Source organism: Homo sapiens, chromosome 5 (assembly GCF_000001405.40).
Source record: "Homo sapiens chromosome 5, GRCh38.p14 Primary Assembly".
Classification (NCBI taxonomy): Eukaryota; Metazoa; Chordata; class Mammalia; order Primates; family Hominidae; genus Homo; species Homo sapiens.
The window spans coordinates 89,899,551-89,915,324 of NC_000005.10; the positions used below are offsets into that span (position 1 = coordinate 89,899,551).

At 35.6% G+C, this 15,774-nt stretch overlaps 1 long non-coding RNA gene across 3 annotated transcripts in view; it reads left to right on the forward strand.

The window, feature by feature from the left end:
- Positions 1-2,741: 2,741 nt before the first annotated feature.
- The window catches only part of LOC102724637 (uncharacterized), a 71,709-nt gene continuing 58,676 nt past the window's right edge, over positions 2,742-15,774 (forward strand). For all 3 annotated transcript variants that reach the window (NR_188242.1, NR_188243.1, NR_188244.1), the window contains exons 1-2: positions 2,742-2,801; positions 5,313-5,358. This is a non-coding gene — a long non-coding RNA (uncharacterized LOC102724637). The remainder of the gene's footprint in view (positions 2,802-5,312; positions 5,359-15,774) is intronic.

The following is a 15,774-nucleotide window of genomic DNA, read 5'->3' on the forward strand; positions in this document are numbered from 1 at the left end:
AATTCAAAAAAGATCAAAGATATTATGGGGGCTAGGGATCACCTTTACAAAGCCAGGGAAGACCTCTCTAAGAAAGTGGCATTAGCAAAAACTTGAAATAAAAGCAACCTTGAGAAGCTTGGTGGGAAAGAACATTCTAGGGAGAGGTTGCAGCATGTGTAGCAAAATCTCCTGGAGCAGAGTGTAACTTTTGCATATTCAAGAAACAGAAAAATTCTATCTGAGCTGGAACATTACAGAGGAGGGTAAATGTCACACATGCACATCTCAATTTCCCTGGACTTACACAGCATGCAAAATTGGAATACAGAGCTATAGAAATTGGACATAGATGTTAGAAATGGATAAGCATTCAGAATTATAGTCTTACTAAGATTAGTTTACATAGCATAAAATTCACCTCTTATGAGTATCAGCTTAATGATATTTAATAAATACATATATAATTGTGCAACCAACACCCCCAAATTTAAAACGTTTTCATCACCCTAAAAAGTTGCCTCATGTTCTTTGTAGTTGATTTCTACTCTGTTAATCACCCCCGGGCAACCAGTGATCTGTATTTTTTCTTCATAGATTTACCTTTTCTAGAAGTGTCATATAAATTTAAACATACAATACATAGTCTTAGTGTCTGGCTTCTTTCACTTGGCATAATGTTTTTGAGGTTACTCTGTTGTTTCCTGTACACATGATTCATGGCTTTTATTGCTGAATTGTATTCCTTTGTATGGATGTACCACATTCTCTTTATTCATTTACCAGTTGATGGACATTTGTGTTGTTTCCAATTTTGAACTGTTATGCATAATGCTGCCATAAACATTGGTTGACAAATCTTTATATGAACACAAGTTTTAGTTAGATACCTAGAAGTGAAATTACTTGGTTGTTTATATGGTAGCTCTGTAATTAGCTTTTGAAGCAGTTGCTGTACTGTTTGAGTCACATGTTTTTAATTTCTTACTCATAAACTGGTTATGGAGGATAATAGTAATTATGAGAGAGCCTGCTGGAATACTGAATGGAATCTGTAGAATACTCATCTCTTTCTAATCTGACATCATAATATCACGAGGAACCTGGATATGAAAATAGCAACTACTGCCACTTACTTGGAAATAAAAGATCATGAGAATAAAGTGGACAACTTTTAAAAGGTTTATGAGGGCTTTACATAATTGTTGTTTGTTTTTTTTTTTTTTGAGATGGAGTTTTGCTCGTTACCCAAGCTGGAGTGCAATGGCGCAATCTTGGCCCACTGCAACCTCCACCTCCTGGGTTCAAGTGATTCTCCTGCCTGAGCCTCCCGAGTAGCTGGGATTACAGGCACGTGCCACCACACCTGACTAATTTTGTGTATTTTTAGTAGAGACGGTGTTTCACCATTTTGGTCAGGCTGGTCTTGAACTCCTAACCGCAGGTGATCCACCCACCTTGGCCTCCCAAAGTGCTGGGATTATGGGTGTGAGCCACCACGCCTGGCCTACATAATTATTTTAATGAACCTCTCAGTTCATCACATTAATGCAGGGTCTGTCATAGAAAACATTTTTTCTAATTCTTGAAACTGAAGTTTGTATAATTCCAACCAGTGTGGAAATCTATCTTGCGATAACCAGAAATATTCCTCCACCATGAGGTCCAAAATGTAAGTTTTCCTTTTCTCCTAATAAGAACTATTTCCATGGCATTAACCTATTTCTTGGCCACCATCTACGTCTGGACAATGGAATTTTCCTATAATAACTTCAGATCTCAGAAATGTAAAAGGTAAATGAAATGCTAAATTTTGCCTACTAGTAGAGGGTGGCAAAACTGATGAAGACAATGTGCAATGACTTTCTATATGAGGCAGAAACATGCACAACGCATAAAGAAAAAGAAACTAAAAATATCTGATGTTGTTATAAAGGAAAGCAGAGCCAAAAGCAATTTGTCTGTGCTTCTTGCCCATCTGTGTGGCTCCTTCACTTAAACAGCCAATGCAGTCAAATCTGATTTGCTTTCCTGTTATAAAAGTTGTGGCTTAACTAGGAGCTATGCTGAAATGTCTAGATAAAGACATCTTTACATAAATACTGTATATATGTCTATGTTTTACACATATGCTTTCTACATGTGATTTTTGTACACACACCCTGTCTTCCCATCTTCAGGTAATGTGTTAGCCCATGAGAAATATCTAAAGGGAAGTCTTTCTTCTAGAGCTGGGAGAACTGTTCTTTCTTCTGAACTTGACTATATCACTAGCAAAGCTACAGAGACAGAGTTATTTCTCTGGTCTCATTTCAGAAAAGAAAGTTACCTTCAATGTACTCAAAACTGGAAGAAATAAACTGAGCACTTATAAAAATACCCCTGGGTAGCCAGGAGGTATATGTACTGTGGTCCTTGTCCATCGAATTGGGAGTCAAGAGACTAAGTGATTTGTCCAACATTATTAAGCTCTTCCCATGAGGAGCTAAACACGACATCCAGATAGCCTGTCCTTCAGACTGGTGTTCCAACCAGCTGACCACTCTAGCTATAAACATTTGCCCCGGCTGTATTTTCCCACTCCTGGATGATTGTCTGCCTGGCATTGAGACGACAGAAGCACGAAGCCAAAATATCCTTATGTGGGCATAGCTGCCTCTTCATGGCAGAGCCAATTTGGATCCCATCCATTGGCAGGGATGTCCCAGAAGCAGCCAATTTTAGTTCAGCCTCTTTAAAACTCTGGATTGTAAACAAACAGTAGGAGTTTCTTTCCACAGTGGAAGGGAGAATAATGAGAAGAAGGATGCAGAAGAGAGGGGGTAAGTGAGGCTAGCACCTAGTTTACCAGAGGAATTAGGAATGAAAAAAATGAGCTGGAAACCTCCAGAGACTAACTGATAATGCCCTAGATCTTTTAGCTTTTAAAGACGATGAACTGCATGTAGCTCTTTCCTCCTTTTCTTCCATACTCCTTTAAATTTCCATCTCATTGCTTAGTTCTCTCCATTATTGTCTTGGCCTTTTTATTTTTTATTTTTAATTATTTACTTATTTATTTATTTTTAGACGGAGTCTCACTCTGTAGCCCAGGCTGGAGCTAGGCTGGAGTGCAGTGGCGGGATCTCAGCTCACTGCAAGCTCCGCCTCCCGGGTTCACGCTATTCTCCTGCCTCAGCCTCCGGAGTAGCTGGGACTACAGGCTCCCGCCACCAAGCCCGGCTACTTTTTTGTATTTTCAGTAGAGACGGGGTTTCACCATGTTAGCCAGGATGGTCTCGATCTCCTGACCTCGTGATCCGCCCGCCTCGGCCTCCCAAAGTGCTGGGATTACAGGCATGAGCCACCGGGCCCGGATGTCTTGGTTTTTCTTGATATTTGAAACAGTAGGTCAAAATTGGACATGTCTAGTAGGCGGTTGCTGGTTTAGTAATAAAGGGTAGTAGCTGTAATTGCCCAGTTTGAATAGTGTTCATGTTTTTAAGGATTTCACAAACAAATCTTCATCGAATAAATGTTTTTAAAAAATGATTACTGATTAGATTCAATATAAATTAAGGAAGGTCCCATCATATCTCTTGCACAAATCATTGCCTTCCAGAATTAAGCACAGCATCGATATGTATGTCTTACATGACATATTGCTCTGCAATGTGATGGAATCAACAGAACAAGATGTTTGGAGTCAGATGGCTAAACTAGGATTTAAAGTTCACATTATTTACTAGTTAACTGTGGATGCTAAGGCAATATTCTTGAAGTCTCCATGTCTTGATTTCCTCTTAGTGAAATGGGAATCATAATAATAATAATTTTACAGGGTTGGTGTAAAAACGAAATGACTGCCTGCACTCAATACAATACCTATTATGGTTATGTTAGTTATATTATGATTAATGTATTAGTATACTATTGATAAAATGAATATGAAATTGCTAGTAGCCAGCTCACAATATTAGTATGACAAAAATTATTTCAATTTGGTTTAAATACAATACCTGTGGTCAATAACATCATCTTTTCTTAAAACTTAATGCACTGAGCACTGTCAATTACAATGAAAAAAAAATGCAAGTAACCCAGTTGGACTATCCATTAACTGAGAAAATATAATATGAAAAAGCCACCATGAATTCAGGACCACTTATGAATGTAGCTGTATTTTATTGATAGAATTTATATGTGCTTAGAAAAAACATAGTACATTTTATGTTAGATATATTTATTCAGATTACCAAAGAAAATGCTTACTGTACATATGGATTGATGGGCCCTATCCAATAACTTTCATCACTCCTCAAGGGCCCTTGGCACACAGGCTGGGAATCACTGATGTTGGTTAAGGTCACAATAGACAGGGGAGCCTCATGCTTATAATTCTGCTTGCCAAGTGGAAATGCTAACCTGCTCTTTCCCAGGATTTTAGAAAAACATTTGAAATATTTCACAAGATAAATGAAAATGGGTAAACACAAGGCCTTAAGGAAAATATACTTCTGGTGCATTTATTAAGCACTTGGATCTGATGCATGACACCTGCTTAAAACTCAAAGAATTATCACAGGCTTTGCTGAGGAAGAAAGAACAAGAATTATGACTGCACACAGGCTCATACTTCAGCAAGTCAATGTTTTTAAATCAATGAAAAACAATCCAGTGATTGTGTTTGCTACAAAGGGAAAGCAATGTAAGATGACATACAGTATTTCAAGCTGTTCAAATTACTGATGGCACAGTGGCAAGATATATATCCATTAAAACCAAATAGTTGTTTCAAAGTATGTTGGCCAACAGAGATAAATAATGTTTCTCTGAAGTGAATATAAAATAATGTCTCTCTTCAGAATGTAGGACCCTATAATGGCTTTAGCCACAAATACCTCTTGCTTATTTGGGGAATACGCATTTTCCACCTTCATTCAGAAATTCTTTAGTTAGCTCAACAAAATTCATCTTTCACCTCAACAAAAAAGCATGCGCATTAAGTATCAAAGTATGTATATTTCTACAGTAGGCTCACTGATGGTCTCATTCCTATTGGTAAATTTGTCATAGTGAATGAGTAAAGTATGAATAAATACAATGTGTTGAATGTAGAGGCTACTTTCACAAGAATATTGCATCATCAGTGGGCCAATGTTAAGAGCATGTTTGTGAGGAAGAGGAACATACAATTTCTCTTTTTTTCTTAATTCTTCTCTTATCAGCATTTTAATTAATAAACATAAAAAGGTAACACTGATACACAAAGTATTAAATCACCATCCATTCGTCTTTAAAGATTTGCATTCTCCTAATCAGTGAAAACAATTCTTTCTTCTTTATCTTTACAGAAAGTTGAAAGTAGCTGATATGGGACCACAGAATATTGGCCAATCAGTAAGTAGCATGTACCGACTCTAGGTGTCCAAAACTTAAACAGATTTGTTCTATACAAGGATTTTGTTGATACAAGTGATGATTTAAAAAATTACCTCAGTGCTATTTCAAGCTTCATCCCTCTCAACTATAACCTATACAAATTCTTATAACATATAGCCTAAAAAAGAGATATGTTAAATTTTCACAACTGAAAAAAAAAAATTCCTCTTTTTACTCCCTCCTACCATACTCCTCAAGAACTTCATCATAATAGTAAAGTCCAAATTTAGACTTCTATTTTCATCAAAAACCTGGAAAAATCCAAAAGATACTTATAAATTAAGTTTGATAAAGATACCAAATACAGAATAGTGGTGTTCATTGAAGGTGAGAATATAGCATGACAGTTTTTAAATAAAATGTGAAATGTAAAAAATATATGATAGTGAATGACTGTTGGTTCTTAGTCTTTTATTATTATTATTATTGTTTTGTTTGTTTTTTGTTTTGCTTTAAATGGGGTCTCTCTCTGTCACCCAGGCTAGAATACAGTGTCGAAATCAGTGCTCACTAAAGCTTTGACTTCCTTGACTCAGAGATCTTCCAGCCTTAGCCTCCTGAGTAGCTGGAATCACAGGCAAATGCCACCACACCTGGTTAATTAAAAAAAAAATTTTTTTAGAGATTGGTTCTTTATATGTTGCCTAGGCTGGTCTTGAACTCCTGGGCTCAAGTGATCCTCACGCCTCAGCCTCTCAAAGTGCTGGTACTACAGAAGTGAGCCACTGTGCATTGCTGATTCTTGTTCTTAATGAGGAAAACCACATAGGATACTAAAGATGTAAAAATAAAAAATGTTTGTATTGGATAATAGTATAAATATCTATAGGTCTTCATAGACAAATGAACCATTGGGAAGCAACATATTATAGGCATACCTTGAGAATATTGCGCAGTTTATTCCAGACCACAGCAATAAAGCAAATATAGCAATAAAGCGAGTCACACATGTTATTTGGTTTTCCCATGCACAGAAAAGTTACATTTAAACTATAAAGTAGTTTTTTAATTTTAAGTGTGCAACAGAATTATGTTTTAAAAATACATATCTTAAAAATACTTTTTTGCTAAAAAATGCTAATAATCATCTGAGCCTTTAGCAAGCTGTAATTTTTTACTGATGGAGGGTCTTCCCTAGGCATTTATGGCTGATAACTGATCAGAATGTCAGTTACCTAAGGCAGTGGTTGCTGTGGCAATTTCTTAAAGTAAGACTACGATAAAGTTTACACCATCTATGGACTCTTTCTTTCCCAAAAGATTTTGCGTAGTATGCAGTGCTGTTTGATAGCATTTTACTACTCACAGAACTTCTTTCAACATTGGAGTCAATCCTCTCAAACCCTGCCACTGCTTTATCAACTATGTTTATGTAGTGTTCTAAATCCATTGTTGTCATTTCAAAAGTATTCACAGTATCTTCACCAGGAGTAGATTACATAACAAGAAACAATTTTCTTTGCTTATACATAAAAAGCAATTCATCATCTTTTCAAGTTTTATCATGAGATTGCAGCAATTCAGTCACATCTTCAGGTTCCACTAATTCTAATTCTCTATTTCCACCATATCTGCAGTTAATTCCTCTTCTGAAGTCGTGAACCCCTTAAAGTCATCCGTGAGACTTGGAATCAACTTCTTCCCAAACTCCTGTTCATCTTGATATTTTGATTTCCTCTGCTAAACTGCAAATGTGCTTAATGACATCTATAATGGTGAATCATTTCCAGAATTTTTTTGACTCACTTTTCCCAGATTCATCATAGGAATCAATGTCTCTGGCAGCTATGGCCTTATGAAATGTATTTTTTAAATAATAATCTTGAAAGTTGAAATTACTCCTTGATCCATGGGCTGCAGAATGGATGTTGTGTTAGCAAGTATGAAAACAACACTCATTTAGTTGTACCTCTATCTTTATCTGAGCTTCTGGGTGAACAGGTGCATTGTCAATGAGCAGTAATATTTTGAAAGAATTTTTTTTCTGAGCAGTAGGTCTCAACAGTCAGCTTAAAATATTCAATAAACCATGCTATAGACAGGTGTGCTGTCAGTCAGCCTTCGTTTTTCCATTTATAGAGCATAGGCAGAGTAGATAGCATAATTCTTAAAGGCCCTAGAAATTTAAGAATGGTAAATGAACACTGACTTCAACTTAAAGTCACTGGCTACATTATCCCCTAACAAGAGAGTTAGGCTGTTCTTTGAAGCTTTGGAGCCAGGCACTGACTTCTTCTCTCTAGCTATAAAAGCCCTAGATGGTATGTTCTTGCAATATAAGACTGTTTCATCTACATGGAAAAATCTGTTGCATAGTGTAGTCACCCTTATCTATGATCTTAGCTAGATCTTCCAGATAATTTGCTGCTTCACCTTGCATTTTAACGTTATGGAAACAGCTTCTTTCCTTAAACCTTAACCAACCTCTGCTAGCTTCCAACTTTTCTTCTGCAGCTTTCTCACCTCTCTCCACCTTTGGAAAATTGAAGAGGGTGAGAGCCTTGCTCTGGATTAGGCTTTGGCTTGAGGGAATATTGTGGCTGATTTTATCTTCTATCCAGACCACTAAATCTTTCTCTGTATCAGCCATAAGACTGTTTCACTTTCTTATCATTTGTGTGCATGCTGGAGTAGCACTTTTAATTTTCTTCAAAATTTTTCCTTTTGTGTTCACAACTTGGCTAACTGTGTGGTGGGTGCAGGAGGCCTAACTTTCAGCCTATTTCAGCTTTCAATATGTCTTCCTCATTGAGCTTAATCATTCCTAGCTTTTGATTTAAAGTAAGAAACATGGAACTGTTCCTTCCACTTGAACACTTAGAAGCTATTGTATGGCTTCTAACTGGCCTAATGTCAATATTTTTGTCCCAGGGAAGAGGGAGGCCCAAGGAAAGAGAGGAAGACTGCAGAATGGTCAGTGGAGCCGTCAGAACACAAACATTTATTGATTAAGTTCACTGTCTTCTATGACTGCAGTTCATGGCACCCCAAAACAATGACAATAGTACCATTAGAGATCACTGATGGTAGATTACCATAACAACATAACATATGAAAGTAATGATCGTACAATAATAATGAAGAACTTTGAAATACTGTAAGAATTACCAAAATGTGACACAGAGACAAAAGCGAGTACATGCTATCAGAAACATGATACTACAGACTTGCTTAATGTGAGATTGCCACAAACCTTCAACTTGTAAAAATAACACTATCTGCAAAGCTTGATACAGCAAAGTACAATGAAATAAGGTTTGACTGCACTGCAATAAAATGAGGTATGAGTGTACTATGGTTAAAACAACACTGTGGTATATTTCCCTCTCCTTGGAGCACCGTTCTCCCTCATTGAGTAGGACTGACTCTGCCTTCTTATTTAGATTCCAACTCAGATGTCAGCTTACCCGGGAAGAGCCTTTCCTGAATCCCAAATCTAAAGTAGCCAGGCAGTCACTCTTTTATCACCCCACCCTATACTAGTTCTCTGCATTTTTCACACCCAGTATTTTCTTATTCTTGTTGGTTCGCTATTGGGTTTCTACACCCAAAAGGATATTACTTTGCTACTTCGCTAAGACATTGTCTAATTCACTGCTAGATTCCCAGGTCCCAGATGCTAGATGTTCAACAAATACTTGCTGAACAAATCACAGCTGAGGGGAGCTACTGTAAAAATATGGAGCATTTTATCTGATCACCTACACAAAATGATTTTGGTGATATTGACAGTAGTCTTTTACCTTCCTTTATCTAATTTATATAGTAACCCTGCAATTAAAACATAAATGTAAGAAAAAATGCTCTTTGTTAAAATTTAGGCATCCTTTTCAAAAGCTTACATTTTACACTGTAGCAATCATTTACACTTTAATGTGGATAAGGTTAACAGTTATACATCTGAAGGTTGTTTGATAAGCTATGGATGAGAAAAGCAGAAAAACTGAAGATATTAAGTGACTGAAAATAAGGAAAAGTAAAACTAGGGCTTTAAGACTTACCTGACAACTTCAAAGATTGTCCCAGCTTCTGTCCTGAGTGGGACTTTTGCATTAACAAGTGAGCCTGATGGAGGCTTAATGTTTCTTAGAAACAGTCTTCAAGTACTGACAGAAGATGGCCATCTGTTCTTCTGATTGCTGAGCCAGAACAAAGGGAAAAGAATAAAATGCAGTACAGAGGGTTTAGATTAGATCTGAGGAAGGATGTCTGCACAAAGTGAGTTATTATACAATAAAATAAGTTTCAGGAGAAAAATAGTTTTAAACTCTTTCAATATGGGACTCTTCAGAACTAATTCAGATTTGTATCCATAAAGGATGTTTAAGATAAAATTTTCTTTCTGAAGCCAGGAAAGCCAACTTTGTTGCTTTATTCCTGGAAGTGTTATCGATTTGATATAGTGAATGAAGATATTCAAAAGACCTTAAGCAATTAGAAATCCAGGGTGATATTTGCATATTCGATCCCACCTACATGACTACCTGTGACCAGGTACTTAAGTTACATTACATAACAGAAATCCACACATATATATTAATGATAGAATGACACATGTGATATATGCAAGCCTGTCACTATATGCTATAGCAGCATGGAGACTCCAAAAAATCAACCTGAGTATATTAAGCTGCTTTGTTCAATTTACTTGTATCAGAAGTCCTCTATTGTATGGCATAGAGTTGCCTGACTGTGGGATTTTAAGTGGCCTGCAAGGAAAGTGCCAAGAGAGGACACAAAATAATAGAGAAGATTGCCAGTGGTTTACTTTTTACTTTTCCAATGTTCTCCTTACAGGATTCTTTCCTTCTTTAAGCCCTCTCTTTTTTTTTTAATATCTAAATCTCCTACCCCCCTGAGGTGCCCATGATCCAAAGTTTGTCTTCTTCTATATTAATTTCCTCATTTACTCTACTCCCAATCCAAACCAGTGCTCCAATGAATGATTTCAGGTTTCTAAAGACCCCAAGAGCAAAGGTCTACTCATTTTGGTTTCGGAGCTCTGGAAGTTTTGTTTTGTTTTAGTGTTATGTTGTCTTTTCTAAAAGAATTTTGGAAAGTTGATATTTGCATATTCCATCCCACCTACATGACTACCTGTGACTAGGTACTTAAGTTACATTTGAATGCATTTTAAGTGACTGAAGGTCAAATGATGCCCAGCATGCATTCTGAATGACATTGAGTTATCAAAAAGCTTGCAATTGCAGAAACATACTGACCAGAGAAAAACTTCCCTGACAGAGAGAAAAGGCCAGTCTTTGAAGTGCTCATTGACTACAGACTATCTTAAGATAGTTCATTATCAGTGCACATAAGGACAAATATATTCTGGAGAATTTCTTATTTAGTTCTTGATCAATTGTATTACTATATTTTATATTGCGTACATATTCTTAAATTGGCCCATGAAAATAATAGAACAGTAGTTTTAAAAAACTGTTAAAAAGGAGAAATAGTTATAATGCTGATGAATTAAATTATAGCCCCTTATGCTCTCAAAAGCATAAAAATTAAGTTGATAGCAAGTGACACAGTAAACAAAGAGGTACATTTGTCACTTTTAAATATAATAGGAGAAATATAGTTTCAATAAAAATTCTGCCTGATTTTAAATGTTTCTCACTTGAATTTTATGTTTCTATAGTTTTGTTTGAAATTAAACGTTAGGTTTAATTTTATAGCTATATAAAATGTAAACATTGTGTTATGTTTGTACAATATTTAAGAAACTTTATATTAAATATAATCTGAGTCAACTATGAAGATCAAAGAGGTGTTTGGTTTTCCTTTAAAAGGTGGTGGTATATTATCTCAGACTGAGAAATGTTAGAACAGCCTAGTTCTATGTGTGTTAAAAGGAAAGGGACTTGAGTACTTGATTAAAATAACCTATACTAACTCTCCAAGTTACTATCATTTTAAAAGAATCCCTGGTAATCCAAACAAATCTCCCCTTGGACTTTTTGCCTTCATAGGCATCCTATGTGAAACCTAACTCATGGCTGTCACCAATTAGAATTGACTTCCCCGTGCTTCATCCCACATGTAGTGAAAGAATGGTGTTGATAGGTCATATTCATGAGTTTGATGATCCTGAGAGAGAGCTACACTGAAAAAAGTGTACATAAGAACCACCAGGATACTTGGGGGAGACACGCAAATTTAATTTGTTTGGGTTAATTCTGAGACTGTATTTTTCCCAAACACCTAAGGTAGTACTGATTCAAGGAGGCCAGAGTCCACTCTTAGAGAAACATGCCTTACCATGCCTTCATAGGAACAAGACAATGGGTACTTTAGATTTCATGTGACTGTGTATAAGTGACCATATAAGTGGAATGGACCAAGAATTACAATCGGAAGAATACTCGAAGCTACTTTGCTACTGAATATGAGTCAGTGGTCATCATTGTTTAGAGAGTTTTTTAAACTACAGAATAAGTGTAGACATATCTGTCTATTTTGCACCAAAGTTTTAAGCATCTTCATTTTTGGTACTAGAAGTTTCATTATCTAAGGAATCAGGACATTTGATTCTTGAGGCTTATTAATGGAGATCATATCCCAGCTACTCTACTTATTAGTTGGGTGACTATAGACTAGTCACTTAACTTCTTGGTGCCTCAGTTTATTCACCTATAAAATAAGAATGAAAATATGAGGATAATGAAGAAGTTAAATGAAATAATGAGTGAAACTAGAAACATGCCTAGCCACATAATAAGAACCCAGTAGATATTAGTTGCTGTTATTATCATATAATATCGTTTATTATTGCCATTTTCATGACTATTATATAAATAACAGAAATCCACACATATATATTAATGACTTCTCTCTCTAAGATATTGTGTTAGAAAAGATAATAAAACCCAAAATGTGCTCTGAAATACCTTACAAGCTAATGGAAGAATTTAGATATGTATCTAAGTAAAAAGAATAAAATGTAGAGAAAGTGGAAATTAAATGTAAGAGAAATGAAATGCAGAAACATTTCAGAGAAATGACACATTACTTGTGACCTAAGTAAATGAAAGAGAACCAAGGATGGCTTATGGGGGATGAAATATTTGGGCTGAAACTTGTATGACTGAAATATAGAGATAAAGAAGAGCTTTCTAGGTTAATTGGAGTAATGTAACAATGCGATGAAGGTAGGAAACCATTTGGACAATATGGAAAATTGTGGAGAATTCTCCATATTTGAACAATATGGAGAATATGTGAACAATATGGAGAATAATGCATTGGTTACTCTATGTGATATAGTGTTAAGGGTCCAGGGGAAAACAACTTAAAGATGAGCAGAAAAGACAGACTTGGAGTGGGTGGGGAACATGATAGCAATTGCTAAATACCCTGCCAAGTTTAGCTTGATTCTAAAGACTACTACAAGCTAACAAAGCATTGTAGAAATGGGAGTATTAGGGCAAGACTGGCTTTAAGGTAATTTATAAGGCTCCAAGGAAGTAGTTTTCAAAATGTGGTCCCGGAACCTGCAGCATCAGCATCACCTGGGAACTCATTAGAAATGGACATTCTCAGGCCTCTTCCCAGAATAAGTGGATTAGAATCTCTGGAAGTCCACTGTTCTATGCTTTATCAAGTAATCCAGGTAAAAGTACTCTATGCAAGCTCAAATCTGAGAACCACTTCTGTAAATTACAGAAGAGATTGAAAAAGAAAGAGACCAGAAGCTCTGGGATCCACTATGAATCAAGGAAACCAGTTGATGGGCTATCAATGATACTGAAATCCTATGTGAGAGGAAGTGAGGGCATGAGCCAAATCAATAGAGAGAGGAAAGGAGGTTGAGCCAGTAATATTGTAAAAATAATGTCATTTATACAATATATAATGTTACTATTCTTGGCATCTGTTAGTCTACAGCATCATTAATTTTTAAAAATGACTTATCAAAAGATAATCCTTAGTTAAAACTATACATATTATGTTATTAGTCAGAAAATATTAAAGTGGGCTAATGGTGCCAACTTCCCACTTCTACTTTAAATTTTTGAATTTCATTACAAAAGAAAAGAGGGAATATTCTGCTGTGCTACCATTAAAATTAGCATAGTGAGTACATTTTGTATGAATTTGACAATCTCTGTTACCAGTGAATCTAGAACTACCAATCTTCTCTTGCTAAAACCCAACTCTATTTGGTTTCACACTGTGATTTTTTAATGGTCTTATTTGTGCATTATTTCAATTTTCATTATATATTGTGCCATTTCGTATTCTCCATGATTATGTTTTCACTGAACAGATGCACTACAGTTTTGCTGCACCAAATTCTATGATCCATAATTAGATGTCAATATGTTTTCTTTATGAACTAAATACATTTTTAGTTACTTGGACATTAATTAAAATCACATGCTGGATTGTTACATCCTTTCAACACATTTTTGAGGAAATATTTTTGGTTTACTTGAATGCTTTAAAACATTCAGTTTTATACTATGTAATTCTTTTTTCCTAAGAACAGATACTGTAGCTAATATATAAATATTAATTACAGAATTATACCACAGAAACCATTAATGTAATATACCCATTCACACACAAAAGAAATGACACTTGATGAATTAGGAAAAAGAGTACCATTATTTGTATTTATTTTTATAGTAATTCTAGGAAAAAATAAATAAAACAAAATTTCACAATAATGGCAAACAATGACCAATACTGAACTACAATGGGAAAAGAAGCAAATTTTAAAATTCACCTACAGACCAAAAAAGACAGGATGAAAAGACAATGCAGAGCTCACACTCTTTAGTCATGTTATATTGTATCATTATGGATATTTTTAACTCTTCATAAGTTTGAATGAATGATGTACTCATCTCATGGAAAAACTGAGAACAGGTTTTCCCAAGGATGAAGAGAACATTTCTAACCTCTAACAAAATGTTGAAAAATCTAACCCCACAGAGTTGCTCCGCATATTCCAGGCATTCCCATCCATTTTTATATCATAAATGCAGTCTGAAACTGGTGAGAGGTTAGAACAGATAGGGAGGTAAATACATATGGAAATTATTATAGCATGTCTCTATCATTCTATCCCTGTTACTCTAAAGTTTCTGCATTTAAAGTTACATCCAGCTCACGTGAAAATTCAACAGGTATAAAACTTCCTTCAATAGAAGATATAGGGTTTCCTAACACTCATCCAGTTCTGGCTCCAATATATTGGGATATAAAGCTTTGGCTTTATGGAAATTTGTTTATCTGAAATAACTCCTCCATTTGAAGTTTCTACTGACTTGCTCCAGGGAATTTAATATATAGCAAAGTGATATTTATTTGGTTATCTGTGAAATATCCTAAACTACTTATATCTATACAAAGTGGTAAAGAGAACAGTAGTGGGTTCCAATACCTTAGCATTTTAAATAGTGAGGTGGTATTTTGGAGAATTTGCTGCAAGAATTGGGTCTATAAAACACACAGTCACATTTTATTAGTGATATTTATGTGCATACTTAATAATAAAGTTCAGAACCTGAGAAAATTAATTCTGCCTTGAAGGCTCCAGGAGGGAGCAGCAAGAAGTCCTTTCCTGTTGAGCAGAGATTATTGCTTGACATTTCTCTTACTTGCTGAGCAGTTTCCATGTTGACACAGCAGATCTCATCCATGTTAGGAAGGCAGAATCTCATACTCCATCCCAGACCTACTGAATCAGCTTCTGTAGTTTGACAAGATCTTCCAGGTGATTCGTATTGCACACTGAAATTTGAAGACTATTTCTTTGAGACTTTCAGTAAGTCACAATGGAGTGTTCATAAATCATATATTCTAGCATATCCAATGCTACTTGGATATTTGTAATGAGAGATGACTGGATGCAAGAGAATATGGGAACATATGTTTTAAAAAATTATTGTTCATCTGAAATTCAAATTTAACTGGATGTCCTGATTTTATCCAGCAATCCTATCTGGGATACACATGCTAACATTATTCCTGCCACTTTAAACATTGCACAGTGAAACTCCCTGGGGCCCTCACCAAAACTAACCTTTCCACTGGGAGAAGCTCTCATTGGTCTCTGTCCCACACAACTCTCCATAGTCAGGAATCACTAACTCCTGGCATGCCTGTGCTGAGAACATCCTTGCTATAAGGAATTACTAAAAAACCATGGTAACTTTTTTTCTTTTCTAAGTTTTATATTGATATTTGCCAGTCGAAAAGCAAATACTGAGACTTTCCTTTCTGGAAATATGGAACACCCACTTTCCCACTGAAAAACTTCTGAAAATGCCAGATATCTTCTTAAATTGATTAATTCAAAAGAAAATAAGGAATATTAAAAGTAAAATCTAAATTAAAGTGGGAAATAGAGTATTAAGC